Source organism: Homo sapiens, chromosome 6 (assembly GCF_000001405.40).
Source record: "Homo sapiens chromosome 6, GRCh38.p14 Primary Assembly".
Taxonomy (NCBI): Eukaryota; Metazoa; Chordata; class Mammalia; order Primates; family Hominidae; genus Homo; species Homo sapiens.
In genome coordinates this window covers 133,999,539-134,017,658 of record NC_000006.12, presented here as the reverse complement: position 1 = coordinate 134,017,658, position 18,120 = coordinate 133,999,539, and the positions used below count along the sequence as shown (strand labels likewise).

At 39.7% G+C, this 18,120-nt stretch overlaps 1 protein-coding gene and 1 pseudogene across 3 annotated transcripts in view; one reads left to right on the top strand and one right to left on the bottom strand.

Moving 5' to 3' along the window:
* The window catches only part of SLC2A12 (solute carrier family 2 member 12), a 65,044-nt gene that overhangs the window by 34,966 nt on the left and 11,958 nt on the right, over positions 1-18,120 (top strand). The window contains exons 3-4 of one of the 3 annotated variants that reach the window (NM_145176.3): positions 10,725-10,847; positions 15,530-15,662. In NM_145176.3, coding sequence (NP_660159.1) covers positions 10,725-10,847; positions 15,530-15,662 — 256 coding nt within the window. Of the gene's footprint in view, positions 1-1,395; positions 3,009-7,596; positions 7,696-10,724; positions 10,848-15,529; positions 15,663-18,120 lie in introns of those variants that run through there. The other 2 variants (XM_017010311.3, XM_006715349.5) reach the window with 2 other exon arrangements.
* LOC100421250 (epithelial splicing regulatory protein 1 pseudogene) lies at positions 8,112-8,651 on the bottom strand (annotated as a pseudogene).

Genomic DNA, 18,120 nt, shown 5'->3' with positions numbered 1-18,120 from the left:
AGGTGGTCTCGATCTCCTGACCTTGTGATCCGCCCTCCTCGGCCTCCCAAAGTGCTGGGATTACAGGCGTGAGTCACCGTGCCCGGCCTAAATGTCCACTCTTCTAAGTTGGTGCAACGAATTTAGACTATATATCCTGTGCAAACATCAACTCTGCCCTGTTCACATTGGCTTCTCCAGGCCTAACATGGCACCTGGCCTACAACTGGGGCTCAATAAATATTTGTTGGATGAATCAAAAAATTCTTTCTAGAACTCTTTCAGCTTCCATAATTAAGGGGGAGCTCCCTAGTCTGGGACTGGATATCTTGATGTCCTCTGGTATGACTCTGACCCAATATCCAGGGAATGAGAGGTGAATGTGGCTTGTGTGGAACCTCACACACATTTGGCCAAAAATTATTTCTGAGTAAAGCTACTAAATTGAGTATGCAAGGCCATCTGCAATATTTGGTGACTGAAAAAGTTTCATGTTTTAGATTCACTAAAATGAAGGCCATTTAAAAAAATGTACAGTGTTAGACAAAATTTATTTTAAGTTTTTCCATGTTTTTCTCCAAATATGAGACCCAGCTTCCTCTGAGAAAAAGATTGAGAATAGCCCATCCAAGGTAGGATAATTATTCCTACCTTGGTTTCATGTAATTGAATGTATTTAAACTTTTTACCAAAAAGATTGGAGGAAATTCCTTCATGGTTTTCCTAAGAGAAATATGTGACAATCTAAACCTGGAATTTGGGAGGGAAGTGTTTTTGCTTACCTAATTAAACATTAGAGGTTATAGAAATATTTCAATAGATTATCTCAGCCTTAAGAATCACATTAAATCTCTCAGATGTGAATGGGCAATCTAAAGTTGATAATAGTACTAAAAGATCTTTGTAGAAAAATCATACCATAGCCACAAGTAATCAAACTGTTGATAACCATAAGGGGCTGAGATTTTACCCCATTTGCAAGCTAACAAGTTAGCCTGTCACAGTTTAATGATGTTGACAAAAAACACAAGACTCCTTGGTCAGAGACAAAGGGCAGTTTATTATCCATAGCAAAGCAATAGCTAGAATATCAACAAGTTAACCTGTCACAGTTTAATGATGTTGACAAAAAACACAAGATTCCTTGGTCAGAGACAAAGGGCAGTTTATTATCTATAGCAAAGCAATAGCCAGAATATCAACACTTGCCCAGGTTCTCCTAGCCCCAGTACAGGTCAACATGAAGGGGGCCAGATGACACCTGCACATAATTTTTTTTTTTGAGGGAACACCCCAGCCTAGCAAACCCACATTTTTCATAATAGAGAGTAAGCTACCCGGATGTCTTCCCTGGATGGAGACATTATCTTATTTATTTATTTATTTATTTATTTTTTCTTTTGTTATTTTTTCTAGGAGATGTTATCTTTATCGGACAGTCAACAAACTTGCCCTCTGCTCCAGAGGGTGACACTATCTCTATCTCCAAGACTATTTATTATGCAGCCTACAACAAGGCTATTATACAAACAGCCTTGGAAAGACAGCCTAGAGCAAAGACAGTCAGTGCCTTTTCCCATAAGACATGAAGAAATGTGAGAGACCTACGGAGAACTGGCTCCCAACCCAAATATCCTAAAACTCAAATGTCTTTCTTTCTATTCGAAACAACAAACTAGAATTTTGAAAAACTCAAAGACCATAGAGCCTAGCTTTTTGCTCTGTTTGGTTTTATGGAGCTGAACCAGCCTATTGGAGGGTGGGTATCAATGTTGGAAGCATGAGTCATCTGCCGTAAAATTTAAACTTAGATTTAAACAAATAACTCTGGCTCTTAAAAATTTTGTTCATTGGATATTTGCACAGCTAAAGATTATGACAGCTCCAAGGATGTGGAGCAGCAGGTTCTAATTTGGAAGTTTACCTAGTGGCTTCATTTCAAGACCTACTGGGTTTAAGGCAAAGAGGCTGACATTGCAGAAGCACAGGTGTTTCAAAAAAGATTCTGGTATTCTTCAGATTTCCTCCAAGGCTCCAGGTCCCTAACACGCAGAACCACCACAGTCAAAGGCTTTTTCTCTGCTCATCTTCCTCTTCCACCATTCTTATGGGATAATTACATATCTTCAGAGAAAAGGCAATTTCAGACATTGTTATTTTTTGAACAGGAGAGGGTTATTTATTTTTTAAATATATATTTATTTCCAACTTTTAAGTTCAGGGGTACATGTGCAGGATGTGGAGGTTTGTTACATAGGTAAACGTGTGCCATGGTCGTTTGCTGCACAGATCAACCCACCACCTAGGTATTAAGCCCAGCATCCATTTGCTATTCTTCCTGATGCTCTCCTTCCCCCCACACACTCCTTCGATAGGCCCCAGTGTGTGTGTTGGTCCCCATCCCCCACATGCTTCCAACAGTGTAAAAGTGTTAACAGGAGAGTTTTGTTATTAAATGTAGCCATTATACAATAATAGTCATGTGAGTTTATGTTGTGCATCTACCTTTAAGATCTTTCAAATCTTGTTTTTCCCTTTAAATCTTAAATTTCAGTTATCACCAATATTTACACAAACACTGTTCCTTTTTCTCAACTAATTAAGTCAAAGGTCATTTAGGGTGATGGGAATGGTGAATTATTATATGGAAAACAGCATTCATGTGGTTCTGTATTAACTTTGCATCCAAACAACCAGGAAAAACTTAAAGAACTAGATGCACTTAGCTAATTAAATCCTGTTTTCCCCTCGGAGTTAGATGATGCAGCAGCAGTATCTAATAGAACTAGAGTTTAAAACTACATTTTTGTAGCATAACCACAGCAAGAAGTACAGCAAAATGACACCATCAGTCCTGTCACCATGGGCAACTGCTCACATAATACGTCAGTGTTTAACTTATCTCTCAGTCTATACTCCAATTACAGTTCTATGACCTTGAAAATGATAAATATTGGACTGTAAAAGATGTTAAAGTGTCAGGCTAAGGCTTTAATACTATCTTAATAAACACAAGTATTCACGTGTTACTTTACTGTTTTCCATGACTCAGTGTTAAGGATTTTTCAAGGATAATTTGCAACATTTAAAACTATAATACATTTCTAATTAAAGTATCAATAATGAAAAATGTACAACATCAAATATGATCTCCGAAGCCATGACATTCAAGTTGTAGTACAAACTAGAAAAGACTAATTTCTTGCAGCTCCTTCCTTTTTGGCTTGGTATTTTGAACTTTTAGTTCAGTGGTCTGCATATTGGGGTATGCATGCTCCGGGGTAGGGGTTCCCAACTCCTGGACCATGGACTGGACCAGTACAGGTCTGTGGCCTGTTAGGAACCCGGCTGCACAGCAGGAGGTGAGCTATGGGTGAGCAAGTGAAGCTGAGCTCTACCTCCTGTCTAATCAGCTGCAGCATTAAGGTCTCATAGGTGGGCAAACCCTAGTGTCTGCCCATGCGAGGGATGTAGGTTGCATGCTCCTTATGAGAATCTAATGATAAACGTCACGTACTTGAATCATCCCGAAACCATACCTCCTGCCCCCGTCTGTGGAAAAATTGTCTTCCACAAAACCAGTCCCTGGTGCCAAAAAGGTTGGGGACCACTGCTCTAGGGAGTTTACTTTCTGAAGCGCACTCCTTCCATGATAATTCAAAGCAAATCAATTTCCAGAGATTCAGGTTCAAAAAAATCTGTTTCTTGATATTTCTCCTTCCCCATCTCCCCAGTTATAGCTGTTCTCCCACTTAAAAGAAAGCACACTTGTTACTACCAGAAATATTATTTTGATACATGTTCAAAATTGTAAAAACCTAAGAATGCTAGTTAAAAACACAACTGGAAATATTGGTGTAGCTGTTCAAAAATGAGTCTAAAGCCTAGATAATCATCATTTTATAAGTCAAGCTATTTCCAATAATTTGCTTTCAACAAAAAATAAAGGATAATCTAATCAAGTTATCAGCACTATATTATTACAAATAACTTCTGTTTTACTTAAAGAATTAAGTGACATTGCTATTAACAAAATTTTTTCAACTCCCCATATTTTAATTAATCTTGAGAACAATCATTTTCATCCATTTAAAAAGTAGAAATGTATCATGTTATTCTAGAAATAAGTGACATTCAACCACAGATACAAAATAAAGAAAAAAACTCCCCATCCATCTCATTGAGAGGTATTTCCAATATATTTTCATTTTTCCTGTTTAACAATCATTTCTAAAATATGTAAGATATTTCTATAATTTTGATCCATTTATAGTAATTATTATGCTAATAGCTTAATTCACACAGATTCTTAGAAGCTCTTAGAGTAAATAAAAAAATTTCAATTTAAAGTCATATTTTAAAACATTATTATTATTATTAATATTATTGTTTGAGACAGAATTTCACTCTTGTCACCCAGGCTGGAGTGCAATGATGCAACCTCCACCTCCACCTCCACCTCCAGGGTTCAAGCAATTCTTGTGCCTCAGTCTCCCAAGTAGCTAGGATTACAGGCATGAGCCACCATGCCCGGCCTAAGGTCATAGTTTTTTTGAGAGATGTATGATGGGATGATCAATAAAAGACTTTCCAGCTTAAAAATGCAGTACAGTAGAGTAAAATACTAAGTTCAAGTGAAAAAGAAACAATGTAAACTTTCTATTAAATACCTTGTTCTTATACTATTTATTTATTTACTTTCTAAGAGACAGGGTCTTGCTCTGTTGCCTAGGCTGGAGTGTAATGGTGTGATTGATCATAGCTCACTGCATCCTCAAACTTCTGGGTTCAAGCCATCGTCCTGCCTATGCCTCCTGAGTAGCTAGGACTACAGGCATGCACCACCATTCCTGGCTATATTTTTAAAAATTTTTTGTAGAGACAGAGCCTAGTTATGTTGCCCAGGCTTTTCCCAAACTTCTGGCCTCAAGGGATCCTCCTTCCTCAGCCTCCCAAAGCAATGGAATTGTAGGAGTGGGCCACTGCGCTGGCCTGTTCCTAAATTTTTTAAATGGATGACAATGGCTATCAAATAGGTATGGTATTTGAGTTCCACAGGAAACATTTAAAAGAGTAATATAACTATTCTACTTTAAATGTTAGAATTTAAATACAATATAAATTGCATCCTTTGCTATTATTTAAATTTATGGTGAAAAAATGTTAGCTGTTGGCTTATAAATTAAAGAAAATAGTTATTAAAATTCCAGGCCACACAAGCAAGAGAGTTTGAAGACCACTGCCATAGTTCTCTCTTATCCCCAATTGGTGCCTGCTCACAAAAGAGTTCCATTTTTAACTCCAGCATTCATTATTGAGGCTTATTCCATTTAGTCCAATTTCCCTTAGTATATTTTTTTGAAAAATCATTTCAGTTGGTTTTGACTAGAAATCTTTAGGACAGAAAGATTAGAGAACATTGAGCCTTTATTTAATTGCCTTTTTTAGTTTGTAATTTAAGTAATCCAAGATAATATTCTTGAAAAAGTATTTCTTTTACAAAAGGCCATGAGTGGATATGACTCAGGGAGACTGAGAATACAAAAAAGAACAAGAAATTAAAGCAACCACATCACTGCCAATGTTGGGGATGCTATCCTATAGTGGGGTTTATTTATTTATTATTTATTTATTTTGGGGGAGGCAGCCTAGCTCTGTCTCCCAGGTTGGAGTGCCGTGGTGTGATCTCGGCTCACTGCAACTTCCACCTCCTGGGCTCAAGCGATTCTCCTGCCTTAGCTTCCCAAGTAGCTGGGGCTACAGGCTTGTCTACCACGCTTGTCTAATTTTTTGTATTTTTAGTAGAGATGAGGTTTCACAATGCTGGCCAGGCTGGTCTCAAACTCCTGAGCTTAGGTGATCTGCCCACCTCGGGCTCCCAAAGTGCTGGAATTACAGGAATGAGCCACTGCCCCTGGCCTATTTTTGTTTTATTTATTTATTTTTTTGAGACAGGGTCTCACTCTGACACTTGGGCTGTAGTGCAGTGGCGTGATCATGGCTCACTGCAGCCTCGATCTCCTGTTAATAACTTAATTCAGAAAAACTCTTGGAAGCTCTTAGAGTAAATAAAAAGAAATTTCAATTTAAGATCATATTTTTAATTTGATTTTAAAATTCAAAGATCACTCACTGCAGGCTCAATCTTCCTGCCTCAGCCTCCTGGGTAGCTGAGACTACAGGCACACATCACCACACCTGGCTAATTTTTGTATTTTTTTATAGAGACGGGGTTTCACTACATTGCCCAGGCTGGTCTCAAACTCCTGGGCTCAAGCGATCCACCTGCCTCGACCTCCCAAAGTGCTAGGATTACAGGAGTGAACCATCACACCTGGTCGTATACTTATTTTTAAAGAACCCAATTTTTCCACTTGGGCAACTTATGAGGCCAGAATTTAAACATCTGCTTGGAAGGGATGGGCACAGTCCCTCTCAAATTCACATTTGAATTACTCCTTTGCAGTCAGAGAGGTAGGTGTGCCGCTTACAAAGGCAATAAAAACCAAGGATTTTTCACTCCTACAAAGTATAGGGCATGGCTCCTTTGCAAATCAAGTTGTTGAAAACTCTGCAGTCTGAGTGTAGAGCTTCCTCCAAATTGTTAGGAGTTCTCTGGCAAGATTTTCAAGACCTCTGTGAGCCTTTCAAACCCTGGGCTAGCATGCCAGGTGGTTTAGGAAGGACTCAAGCCAAACAGAAAGTGTGCCTGGAGAGCTGTAGAATTTAAATCTGAAGGCATAGAAGGTTAAATGACAGTTTCTGTGGGAAAAACTGGGGCAGGAACCTGAAATAGGTAGGAGGGGGAAACACACAAGTGTCAGGGCTGCCATTTCCATTGAATACCCCTATGAATCCAAGTCCATGTCCTCAACCGGAGACAGAGAGACTTCAACGAACTTGCCCTTCATGATCTTTTTATGACACTCTGTGTAGCCATAAGCACGCTGTCTGTGGATTTCATCTGGATCAGGCAAGTTCTGATAGGCAGCCTTGATGATTTAATACCATGTGAAATATGAGTTTCATCTCTGTAAACAATCACCACACCTCCGCCCCCCCACAAGTCCAAAACTTCCTCCATTATTGCAACATAGACAAGACCTTCAAGATTCATGCAGACCCTGACATTTGTAAGAGTACGAATTGCTGAGGCGGTCCTCAAACGATGGGATTGAAAGTGGAGTAATAGGAGTCAAGGAGAATAATTTTCGTGCCTGCTGAACTCCAGTGGCTGCGCTCACTGTAGAAGAGTTCACTGTGTCTCTGTTACAAGTGCTCTGTGGATTCCTGATGCACAAATAGGACAATGTGCATCCCCTTTTGGCCTGTCATCGGGGTAGGGAATAAAGAAGATTCCCAGAGAGAGCCACTACTTTTTTGCTGTGGTAGTGAAAGGGAGCCCTCCCCTGTGGCAATAATTTAATTTTCCTTGGGGAGAAATTGGGCCATCTCATTGGGAAAAGGAATTAGTGATTTTAAGAAAACTCCCACCTGTTATTATAAACATAAACACATCAAATCCCCATGTAATGATTCATACCTCCTATGAATGAATAAGAGTTTCAGTCCTTACTTATGAACTGAAACTGAGTTTCTCCACTGCTTCTGCTTTAGGTATTGAAAGCATCTTTCCAGAGAACATCAAGATTGGTGAGATTCTGGCACTGTCTTGCTTCTAGGTCAGCCATGGAAAGACTCTGACCCTTTCAGTGAGTCTATCTTGCTGCACATGATACTTTCAGATTTGTATTTCCCTTTCTCTGGAGCTGAAAACCTGTGATTTTACAATCTGGAATCATTGTTTAAATAATATTCTCTCTTTATTGGGGTGAGGGACAAGGTCTCACTCTGTTGCTCAGGCTAGAGTGCAGTGGTATGATCATAGCTTAGGGCAGCCTTGATCTCCTGGGCTCATGTGATCCTCCTGCCTCAGCCTCCCAAGTAGTTGGGACTACGGGCATGTGCCACCACACCTGGCTTATTTTATTTTATTTTATTTTATTTTATTTATTATTTTAAGTAGAGACAAGATTTCGCTATGTTGTGCAGGCTGGTCTGTAACTACTGAGCTCAAGCAATCCTCTCACCTCAGCCTCCCAAAGTGCTGGGATTACAGGCTCAATATTCTTATTTTTAACTTGACAGGCTCCACATTGGGAGGTTGAGCCATCCTTGTCAAATTGTCAAAACATTTGTCAATTTTTGTGACATCCAGTTTGTCAATATTAGATAAACCAAGCCATCAATTCTTTAATTCCTTCATTCAATCAAAAAAGAAGTAGACTCTTTCAGCAACAATACAGTTATTTTTGGAAGCATCAGGTGTAGGGCTTGCTTGACAAGTTTCCTTTCGAACAGAGACTGAGGGAAGCCTCTTTTTCAATATTCAACTCACTGCTCACTGACTGGTGAAACTACTGGAGGACTTGGCTTAGCTGCTATATTGAATGAATATCTAGGACAGGCTTGCAATGTGGATCTCGAGTTTTTCTAGACAAGCCCCTGGCAGTTCAGACTGAGCACATAAAACTGGTGTTTTGTGCAACTGTCCCATCTTCTTGTTGGCGAGGTCCACTTTCTATCACAGCAGGATCAACTCATTTTCATTTGAGGCCAAGGTGGTTCTGATGAGCCCAGCAATGATTCTCCCCAAATCTCACTAAATAATCAAGGCCACCATGATGAAAGATGAGGAGGGGAAGAAGGAGGTTTGAAAGGTGACGAGGTGAAGATGGAAGCTGGAAGAAGAAACCCTGAGCTATCTCCTCTACTAAAAGAAAATGAGAGTGCCCTTTACCCCACCTCCTCCTCATGGCTGTTAAAGCAAATGGTTGTAGGGACCCTCAGCTTCACCTGGCCAGCATCGAATACCCATGCCAGGAAAGGGTATAGGGAGGTTGGTCCGTGGCATATATTATTTAGCTTCAAAATCGGATTTATATAATTTTATCTTGCATTTGTCCGAGGACAGGTCTTCATTACAAAGGCTTCACCAGAATTATGCAGATATCAGTCTACTCAGAGCTGGATCTTCAGTCTTGCAAAGCTCAAGACAGGGTTACCTGAGCACTAAACTGGTCTCATTAAAAGTAAAGCGATTCCACCAACGATATAATCTGCAAGAATCTAGTGAAGGTCTTTTAGCATGGAGAGGGGCAGGGGAAGACAGGTGAGGTGAGAGTGTGGCAGACATGCGGTTTCCTAGTTTTGAATTCCCCATTAATAAGAACAACAATAATAATTACGCTACTTTTTATTATAATTATCTTCCATGCATGAAAGGTAACCCTGTATAGATTCACTTGGAGAATGTAAGAAAAAAATAGATTTTTTCCAGTCTTCTGCAATCCAATTTAGTTTTTTCTTCTTTTAAAGCAGCAAATTTACAGCCAGCAGATGTTTTTTCTACAGGGCATAATCTTGTCAGGAGAGGCAAATTTTAAGTTAGAGGCATGGCTGACTGCTGGATTCTGGCATAGGCAGCCCAGGTGGTTGCTGGCCAGAGCGGCCTCTCCCTGGCTTCTAGTTTCTTCTTCCCATCCCCTCTTCTGGGATAAAATTATGTAATTGGTTGATAAATCAGAGCTGGTCTTCTGAAACACAGTGAATCAGCCAACAGTGAGCCTGAGCTGGGGCAGGGCCAAAGGCCTTCTTTCCACTGAATCAAAGATGCTTACACTTGACATGTATTTATTAATTAATAAATATTTATTGAGTCACTATCAATAAAGCACAATGACAAAAAAGCATGAATTCCAGAGACTACTAGGGATAATGCCACGTTTGTCACTTAAGTGCTCTGTGACCTTGGCAAGTAACTCTTCTAAGCCTCAGTTTCCTCTTTGATAAAAGAGGTTTCGTAATAGTTCCCACCTTGTAGGGGTTTGTGAGGATCAAATGAGATGAGGTTGTAAAAATGTTTGTAAAAGCCCACAGTAAGAACTTCTGGCTGTTTTTTATTAGGCAAACTGGGCTTGATAGGCTGTGAGCAGAAGACAAGTTAATTTGCTCCTTTATTGCCCCATCTGATCCCATCAGGCAAGCCCCATAATGTTCCCTGTCACTCTCAGATAATAAAAAGTCCTCTGATGAGTTTTGGTGCCAATAAGACTCTCCTTCTAGAAATTCAAATGTTTAGTCTGGTACAATAATCAAATCTTGGAGCTCTATTTAATTTAGAACTTCTCTCCATCCAGCTTGCTTCAGGCCAGGACGCCCAAGTCAGAGAAGGGAGAGTAGCCGGCTTCCTCATGCCCACCTGGCTCCATTTCCTACCCACTCATTAGCTGTGATTTCTGACTCCTCCAAGGTCAGGGGGAGAGAGCTGAGGAAACAGCCCAGTCCTACAGCAGGTACACCTGGGCTCTGGCACTGAGGCTTCTGTGCTTGGCAGATGTCCAGAGCTGGCTCTCTTGTTGCTGCCAGGCAGGTGGCCCCACCTCTGCCCCTGCGGTTTGCATTTCTTGGGCCTGTGACAGATACCAGCACCTCATGCCCCTCACCCTATGCATGGGGACCATGGCCCAGCTCTCCTAATGTTTCTGTGAATCCTTTCTTCCTTGGCTGGAGGTGAGGAGGCAGCACGTCCCTTTACTGTCCTGTTCTGCTGAGGTAGGAAATGGTGCTTCCCAACCACAAATCCCGGCAGGATGAGGGCAGGGAGAGATCAGGGTGCTGGCACTCAGATTCAATGGGTTTTTGCTAAATGTGCTGTCCGCCACCCACTCTTGCCTTTCTTCTAGTGCCCTGGCTGGTGCTCAGCGAGATCTTTCCTGGTGGGATCAGAGGACGAGCCATGGCTTTAACTTCTAGCATGAACTGGGGCATCAATCTCCTCATCTCGCTGACATTTTTGACTGTAACTGGTAAGAAGTCTTTGTTTTCCTCTAATGTCTTTGGTCCTCGTAGGACAAATGTTAGGGAATCACACCCACCTAAAGACCATTTTTTCGTGGAAATTTTCAAACACACTTAGAAGGAGAACGGCCATGACCCTGAAGTACCCATGACCCAATTTACAGTTTTGAATGTAAATCTATTTATAACCCCACCTGCTCTTCCCCTACCCAATTATTTTGAGTCACATCCCATATGCAATGTTGTTTTTTCTGAAAAATTTCAGCATAGACCTTTGACATTCAAAAACATATAACTACAATGTCATTATCACACTTAAAAATATAATCATCCCATAGTATCAAACACCTAGTCTGTGTTCATGTTTTAATTGTCTTATAATTGCTTTTTATACATGATTTGAATCATGACCCAAATACATAACTTACAAGTCACTGAAATATGTCATAATTTGTAGGTTTTGTCTCCATCTCCTCCATCTCCTCACCCCCACTATACCTTATATTTTTAAAGAAATTAAAAATCTATTAAAAAACAAATGATTTATTTCATAGAATTTTCCAGTCTGAATTTTGTTGATTATAGTCATGTCACGTGCCCCTCTCTGTTTCTCTGTTTTTTTTTTTGTTTTTTTTTTTTTTTTCCGATAGTCTCTCTCTGTTGCCCAGGCTGGAGTGCAGTGGCATGAGGCATGATCTCGGCTCACTGTAACCTCCGGCCCCTGGGTTGAAATGATTCTCTTGCCTCAGCCTCTGGAGCAGCTGGGATTACAGGCACACAGCATCACACCCAGCTAATTTTTGTATTTTTAGTAGAGACAGGGATTTCACCATGTTGGCCAGACTGGTCTTAAACTCCTGACCGCAAGTGATCCACCCACCTCAGCTTCCCAAAGTGCTGGGATTACAGGCACGAGCCACCACGCCTAGCCCTCCTCTCTGTCTTTTATGTTTCTTGTAAATTGCTATTAGATTTAGATAGAGGCTTGAGGAGAAAGAGAAACCAATCCACAATAACAAAAGTCATGTTTAGGTGTCAGGCAGAATTGCTTGTAATAATAACAAACTTTTATTTTCAAAAGGGATCTCATCAAATTTAAGGATAGAGAGCAGCAGAAGGGAGATTCTTTTTTTTTTTTTTTTTTTTTTTTTTTTTTTTTTAAGACAGAGTCTCACTCTCTTGCCCAGGCTGGAGTGCAGTGGTGTGATCTCGGCTCACCACAACCTCCATCTCCCAGGTTCAAGTGATTCTCTTGCCTCAGCCTCCCAAGTAGCTGGGACTACAGGTGCGCACCACCAAGCCTGGCTAATTTTTTTGTATTTTTAGTAGAGATGGGGTTTCACTTTGTTGACTCAGGCTGGTCTCGAACTCCTGACCTCGTGATCCACCTGCCTCAGCCTCCCGAAGTGCTGGGATTACAGGCGTAAGCCACTGTGCCTGGCAGGGAGATTCTGTAATAAGGTCAGGCTCATTGTTACTTTCCACTGAAGCCTGAAATTCAACTGCATTGTATAGAAAATTTGAGGATCCCTATGTCGGAAATAAGGCAAGGCATAAAAAAATGTTACAAGCAAAACAAAAAATGGCTGTTTGTGTGTTCCATTCAGCAGCCCTATCTAAAGGAACCACAAATTAGATTTATATATTATAATAAAATAACCCAATATTAGGGATCAAATCAGAAACAGAAGCATTCGCCTTGTTTTCCTAGCTCCAACTTGTAAACATGAAGAAAGTAAGAAGGGAAACCCTTTGGGGATTACAAAGAATGATAGAGCTAAAATAAATAAATAAAGCCTAAATTTATTTTTTTAAAAACGATAGAGGCTTGAGGAGATTTACATGTCATTTTTTGGTGAACTCTGTGGCAGCTGCTGCCGTGTGAACTGCCAACAGGAGGCACATGAGGTCTGGTTGTCTCGCTGTTTGTCATTGTTGGCCTCCTTTGATGATCATTTCCCAGACCTACTCATTATGTCATTCCTTCTCCATTTTTATCTGAAATACCTCTCTAAAGAGAAATTTCTTCTCATTAGCTATTTGGCTATCCTGAAGTGTGGATCATATAAGAAAGGTAAAATACGTGCTTGAAACTTTCTCTTTATTTTCTAGTTTTCAAAATAATGTGGCAGTTCCCCAGTATCCACGAAAACTGACCAATGAGTCGGTTTCTCTTTATTTCATATATAGATGAGGAACATGCAGCATGACTACAATCAAGAAAATCCAGACTGTGGGAAGTTCTATGAAACAAATAACCTAATTTCTTCATTTCATATATATTGTCTTTATAGATACAATTTTCAAAAATGGATGTTTGCTGAAAAGCATGCATATATATAAACACATATATACACATATACACACACATACATACATATATATTTAGTATATCCACTTTTGGAAATTAACCTTTGGGGTTACTATTTAAGCGTGGTTTGGGTTTTTATATAAAATTTTCAAATGTTCCTATCCTACCTTTTGAGAAGTAGCTCAAGATTAAAGGAAACAAAGAAACTGGTCCTACTCAGATCACACACATAAACACATGCCCTCAACCTTCACATGTGCACACACGTACTCAACACACACACACCCTCCATCTGCTATTTGATGTGGAGAAAGAGAAATATAAAAGAAAAAATGGAATTGATGAGGGATGGAAAAGATGACACACATCTCTGGGAGGGCTATAGCTAATACACTGGAGGAGCTAGTGAAGCTTTAGAAGTTCCGTATGGGCTTTTAGAACAAATGTAGGAAAACAGATCCACTTAAAAACAAAAAGCCTAGAATGCTCTAAAACCTTTAGATGACATTTAATTGGAATGCTTGACATTTCCTACTTATTTTCAAAAATAAATTTTCCAAGTGTAGGACACAGGGATCTAAAAGACGTGAGGTTCTACTTGGCAGTAAGCCCTTAAACACCAACATTTTTTATGCAATTTCAGCTGTATCAATAAAAGCAGACTGTTCCAGATAGACAAATGTACTCTGCAGTGATCATGACACAATTGTAGCATTGCATTCAGCTCTGAGTAAAACATCTCGAGAGGGCCATTTAAAAATTGCAGTGTGTTCGCTGAAGGAGGGCAACCTGAATGGCGAGGGCAGTAACCTATGCTGTGGGAAGAATGGTTGAAGAGCTCAGGATGTTTGACTTGGACAAGGGGATTCTCAGAGGAGGGCTGAGGTGCATTCAAATATTTGAATGGCTGTCACGGAGAAGGGGTGGGGAGAGCTGATTCACTGTGTGTCCTTCCACAGGACAAAGCACAGCCTCTGAAAGGCAGATTTAGGATCTAAGCAAGGAATAACTTTTTAGCAGACGCAACTATTTCACAGGGCAGTAAGAGGCTTCGTGAAATGGTGAGCTCCCTGTTACTCAAAGTGCTCAAACAAAACTGGGGACAATTTGATGAGACAGCCTTTAGGGTTTTGACAATTTCTATATTCTGGTTTTAAGCTCCAGAGAAGGAAGGACACCCAATTCTACAAGGACTTTATTAAGCAATCAGTTGGGCCATACCCTGTGCCAGCTAGAAAAGCAGAGAGAGACAGGAGTTTAATTAAAATTGCCAAAAGAACTGCAGTGCGGTTCCTCCTTCCTGCTTCTCCCAACCTCAGCACAACTCACCGACAAGTAGTTACTATGCTTCGATTCTTTCATGCTGCATTTACAAACACTGCCTCAGTACACAAGTGCTCAGTCAGTTTTCCTGCCTGACCAACTGTGGTTTGTGGCTGCAGCTGTTAAAGGCTATTTGTAAAATCTTGTTGTTCGTAGTTGACTACTCCTTGCCACACTAGACATTCTGCTGCTGAGTCAGGGGCCGCCACAATGCAAATGGCAGCCTCAAGTGCACTGTGGGGGCCACTGCTGACCACTGAATGTGCCTTGACTTGGTCCATGACTACAAAGGGACTGTATCTTTGGCTGGAAGCGGTCAGAGGAAAAACTAGGTTTGCAGATGAGAGTCATCAGAATCTTGAGGATCCTGCTTCTTGTGATGCATCTTGGCAAGTTGATGGCTTTTACTGGATCCATGATCACTTTTTTCTCTGAACCCAGGAAGAAACATTACAAATACACTGCAAGCTATTAAAAATGATGAAATATTGCCAGCATGAAATGATTTATTCACATCAGAGCAAAGAAGGGTGAGCTCATTCCAAGAAAAATCCATCTGTACAAATGTCATTAAAAATGTCCACCATTGGGAATGATAGCAAGAGGGGGAAAAAATTGTCCACCGAACAGAAACTAAACTGCTACCATGGCGATTCCCAAGAGGGGAACTGTGGAGAGGGAGAAGAGAGATTTTACCTTCTACATCATATGTTTCCATGTTATTTGAGGTTCCTTTTTTGCATGTGCTTTTTTATATTAATAAAGACACATTGCCATTTTGAAACAGAAAGACATGCCCACCAAGAAGATGACATTGGGTGTAAATTGTGATAGTTACAAGACTGCTATTTTCTTCAACAGAGAAAACTAAGGTAGTCTGTAAAAGTAACACCTTCAGAGCTGGCTACATTTTAAATTTGTGATTTCTATTTTCCTGGATACTGCTGGCATGTTTGAAAATACATATGGTGCTATGTATGCCCTAAGTGGCTGTTCACAAATGGGATCAAAGCTACACAAAACACATTTCTAATCAATTTCTTTTGTCCTTTATAGATCTTATTGGCCTGCCATGGGTGTGCTTTATATATACAATCATGAGTCTAGCATCCCTGCTTTTTGTTGTTATGTTTATACCTGAGACAAAGGGATGCTCTTTGGAACAAATATCAATGGAGCTAGCAAAAGTGTAAGTATTACATGCATTGGTTTCTGAACAATACTCTTTGGTCAAAAGTGCAGCTTTTATATACAGCAAAGGAATAATATCTGAAATTATTAGATATTATTAGATTAGGACATTCCCTTTAGCGTAAGACTATGTCTCAGTGCATAATTCCAATTTCCCTGCTTTGTCTTTAATTTGGGTGATTCAGCTAAGGAAGAATAACCATTTCTTCCCAATGAATGAAGCTTTTTTTTTTTTTTTCAAACTACAAAGTGAATGTATTTGATTGGCAAGTGCAAATTTTCACTTATCAATGAAATATTGTACTGAATTTGAATAAAATCTTTACAATTGGAATGTTTTTTAACGTTAGCCTTTTATAATTATCATCAAACTGTAATGCTATTATTCATTACTATGACCAACCAATATGTACGTACAAGGTTACAAGTTTTTTCCTTTTATACGAAACAAAAACAAAAATACATCATTGTAATTAAAAAGCATTAAACCATATTTTCCTTTTTTGTAATGTAATAATTTTTACTAGAACAAAGTTTAATATTTTCACTGTCTGCATTTCTTTTCGGAAAAAGAAACTGTTACTATTGTTGTTTTACCTGATTTTTTCCTGAAACTAATTTTGTTGTACAGAGGATGTGAATCTTCTGTGCTACTGATTAAAACTATCTCATTTAAAAAACAGTTTATTTCCATAGGTTTTTGGGGAACAGGTGATATTTGGTTACAGAGTAAGTTCTTTAGTGGCGATCGTGAGATTTTGGTGCACCCATCACCGGAGCAGTATACATTGAACTCAATTTGTAGTCTTTTATCCCCCACCACCCCCCAATGCTTCCCCCACCCAGTCCCCAACCAACGGGTGAACATTTTAAAGCTCTACTCAATCACCATCTCAGAACTTCTTCCGCCTCTCTAGCTCCCCCCAACAGGTTTTCTTTGTTTGGGGTTTGGGGTGGGTCCCGGAAGTGTAGATATACCATGTTCACACTGGGCTAGGAACTTGGGTCTCAGCCTTTCCATCTCTATCAGACTTAGAGCTCCTTCTCTGTGCCCTAAACACTTGCTAAGGCTAAGATTAGCAGAAAAACTCTCAGGCTTAACCATCTACCGTTGTTCTAAATATTGCACATTTAAGGTAATTTTAAGAAAGATAAGTTTCTTATATGAATAGGCTTTTAGAAAACTGGTTTAAAAAATTTCACAAGGAGAGATTGTTTAAACAATTTAACTTAGAAGTGAAACATTTAATTTAGAAGTGAGTGGCAGAAAATTCCCTTTCCTTTTTTAGTAGCTCTAATTGCCAAAACCATGTCCTGGGGGAAGAGGTGAGACATAGGGGCTAAGAATGAAGCAGAACTTGTTACTCTTCCTAGGATTACGTCGTTCCATTTAGAAATGCAGGGATACTTATTGTTGGGTTTTAATATAATGGGAGGAAACTACATTTTCACAATTTGTGATTTTCTTTTAAAAATACTTTGAAAACAGTAGAGAAAAATGTATGATTACAGATATTGTGGGCATAGCGATTCTTCAGCTTTTACTTGAAGGAAGAATAAACCTGATAGGTGAATTGTTAGTAGGTATATGTGTGCATGTGTATTTATATTGAACTAACCATTAATCCTGGCTTATTGGGGGTATAGTAAGTAGGATTGTGGAAAATTTTCACTTTGTGCTTTATACACTTTTAGATGGTCTAAATTTTAAAATATTTTACTTTAGAAAAAGCAGAAAAAAATTCTCCCAGTTTAAGCTTAAGGTAAATATCAAATTATAAGGCTAATTTTTTTTGATACAGATGAGGCCCTGTTTTCAAAAAAATAAAATGAAAATGATTCATTTACAATGGGAAATAAAATTGTGAGGAAGGCTGGCTATATCCTTGGACTAACTAACGCATTGCCTGGCTCTATCCAAGTGGAGGTTAAAATGATTGGATTTCTTGGTGAGCATTAGACTCTGAATAAGGCTATCAATTACAAACACGATTTAAATAATCAATGGCCTCAGACTTTGATAAGCCAATGTATCCACCTGTAAACTGGCAACATTCCTCATGGATTCAGGTTTTTCCATAACTGAGATGCCAGGACACCGATGACTTCCAAATCTATTGGTATTCCTCCATTTCTCATCCTTCCTTATGCCTGTTTCACATCAATTATCCATTGCTGCATAACAAGGCATCCCAAATGTTGCAGCTGAAAACAACTATTTCCCATGATTCTTTGGTTTGGCTGGGTGGTGCCTCTGCTTGCTTTGCCTGGGCTCACTCACATGTCTCCCTGGGCAGGAGGGCCCACAATCACATGGGACTTGATCACATAGGTGGCAGTAGGTGCTGGCTGTCAATGGGGAGCTTCAGTCCTCCCCAGTGGCTTCTCATCCTTGAGGAGGCAAAGTGGCTTCCTCACATGTCAAACTCAGGGCAACTTTCCAAGGTAGTGAAGGC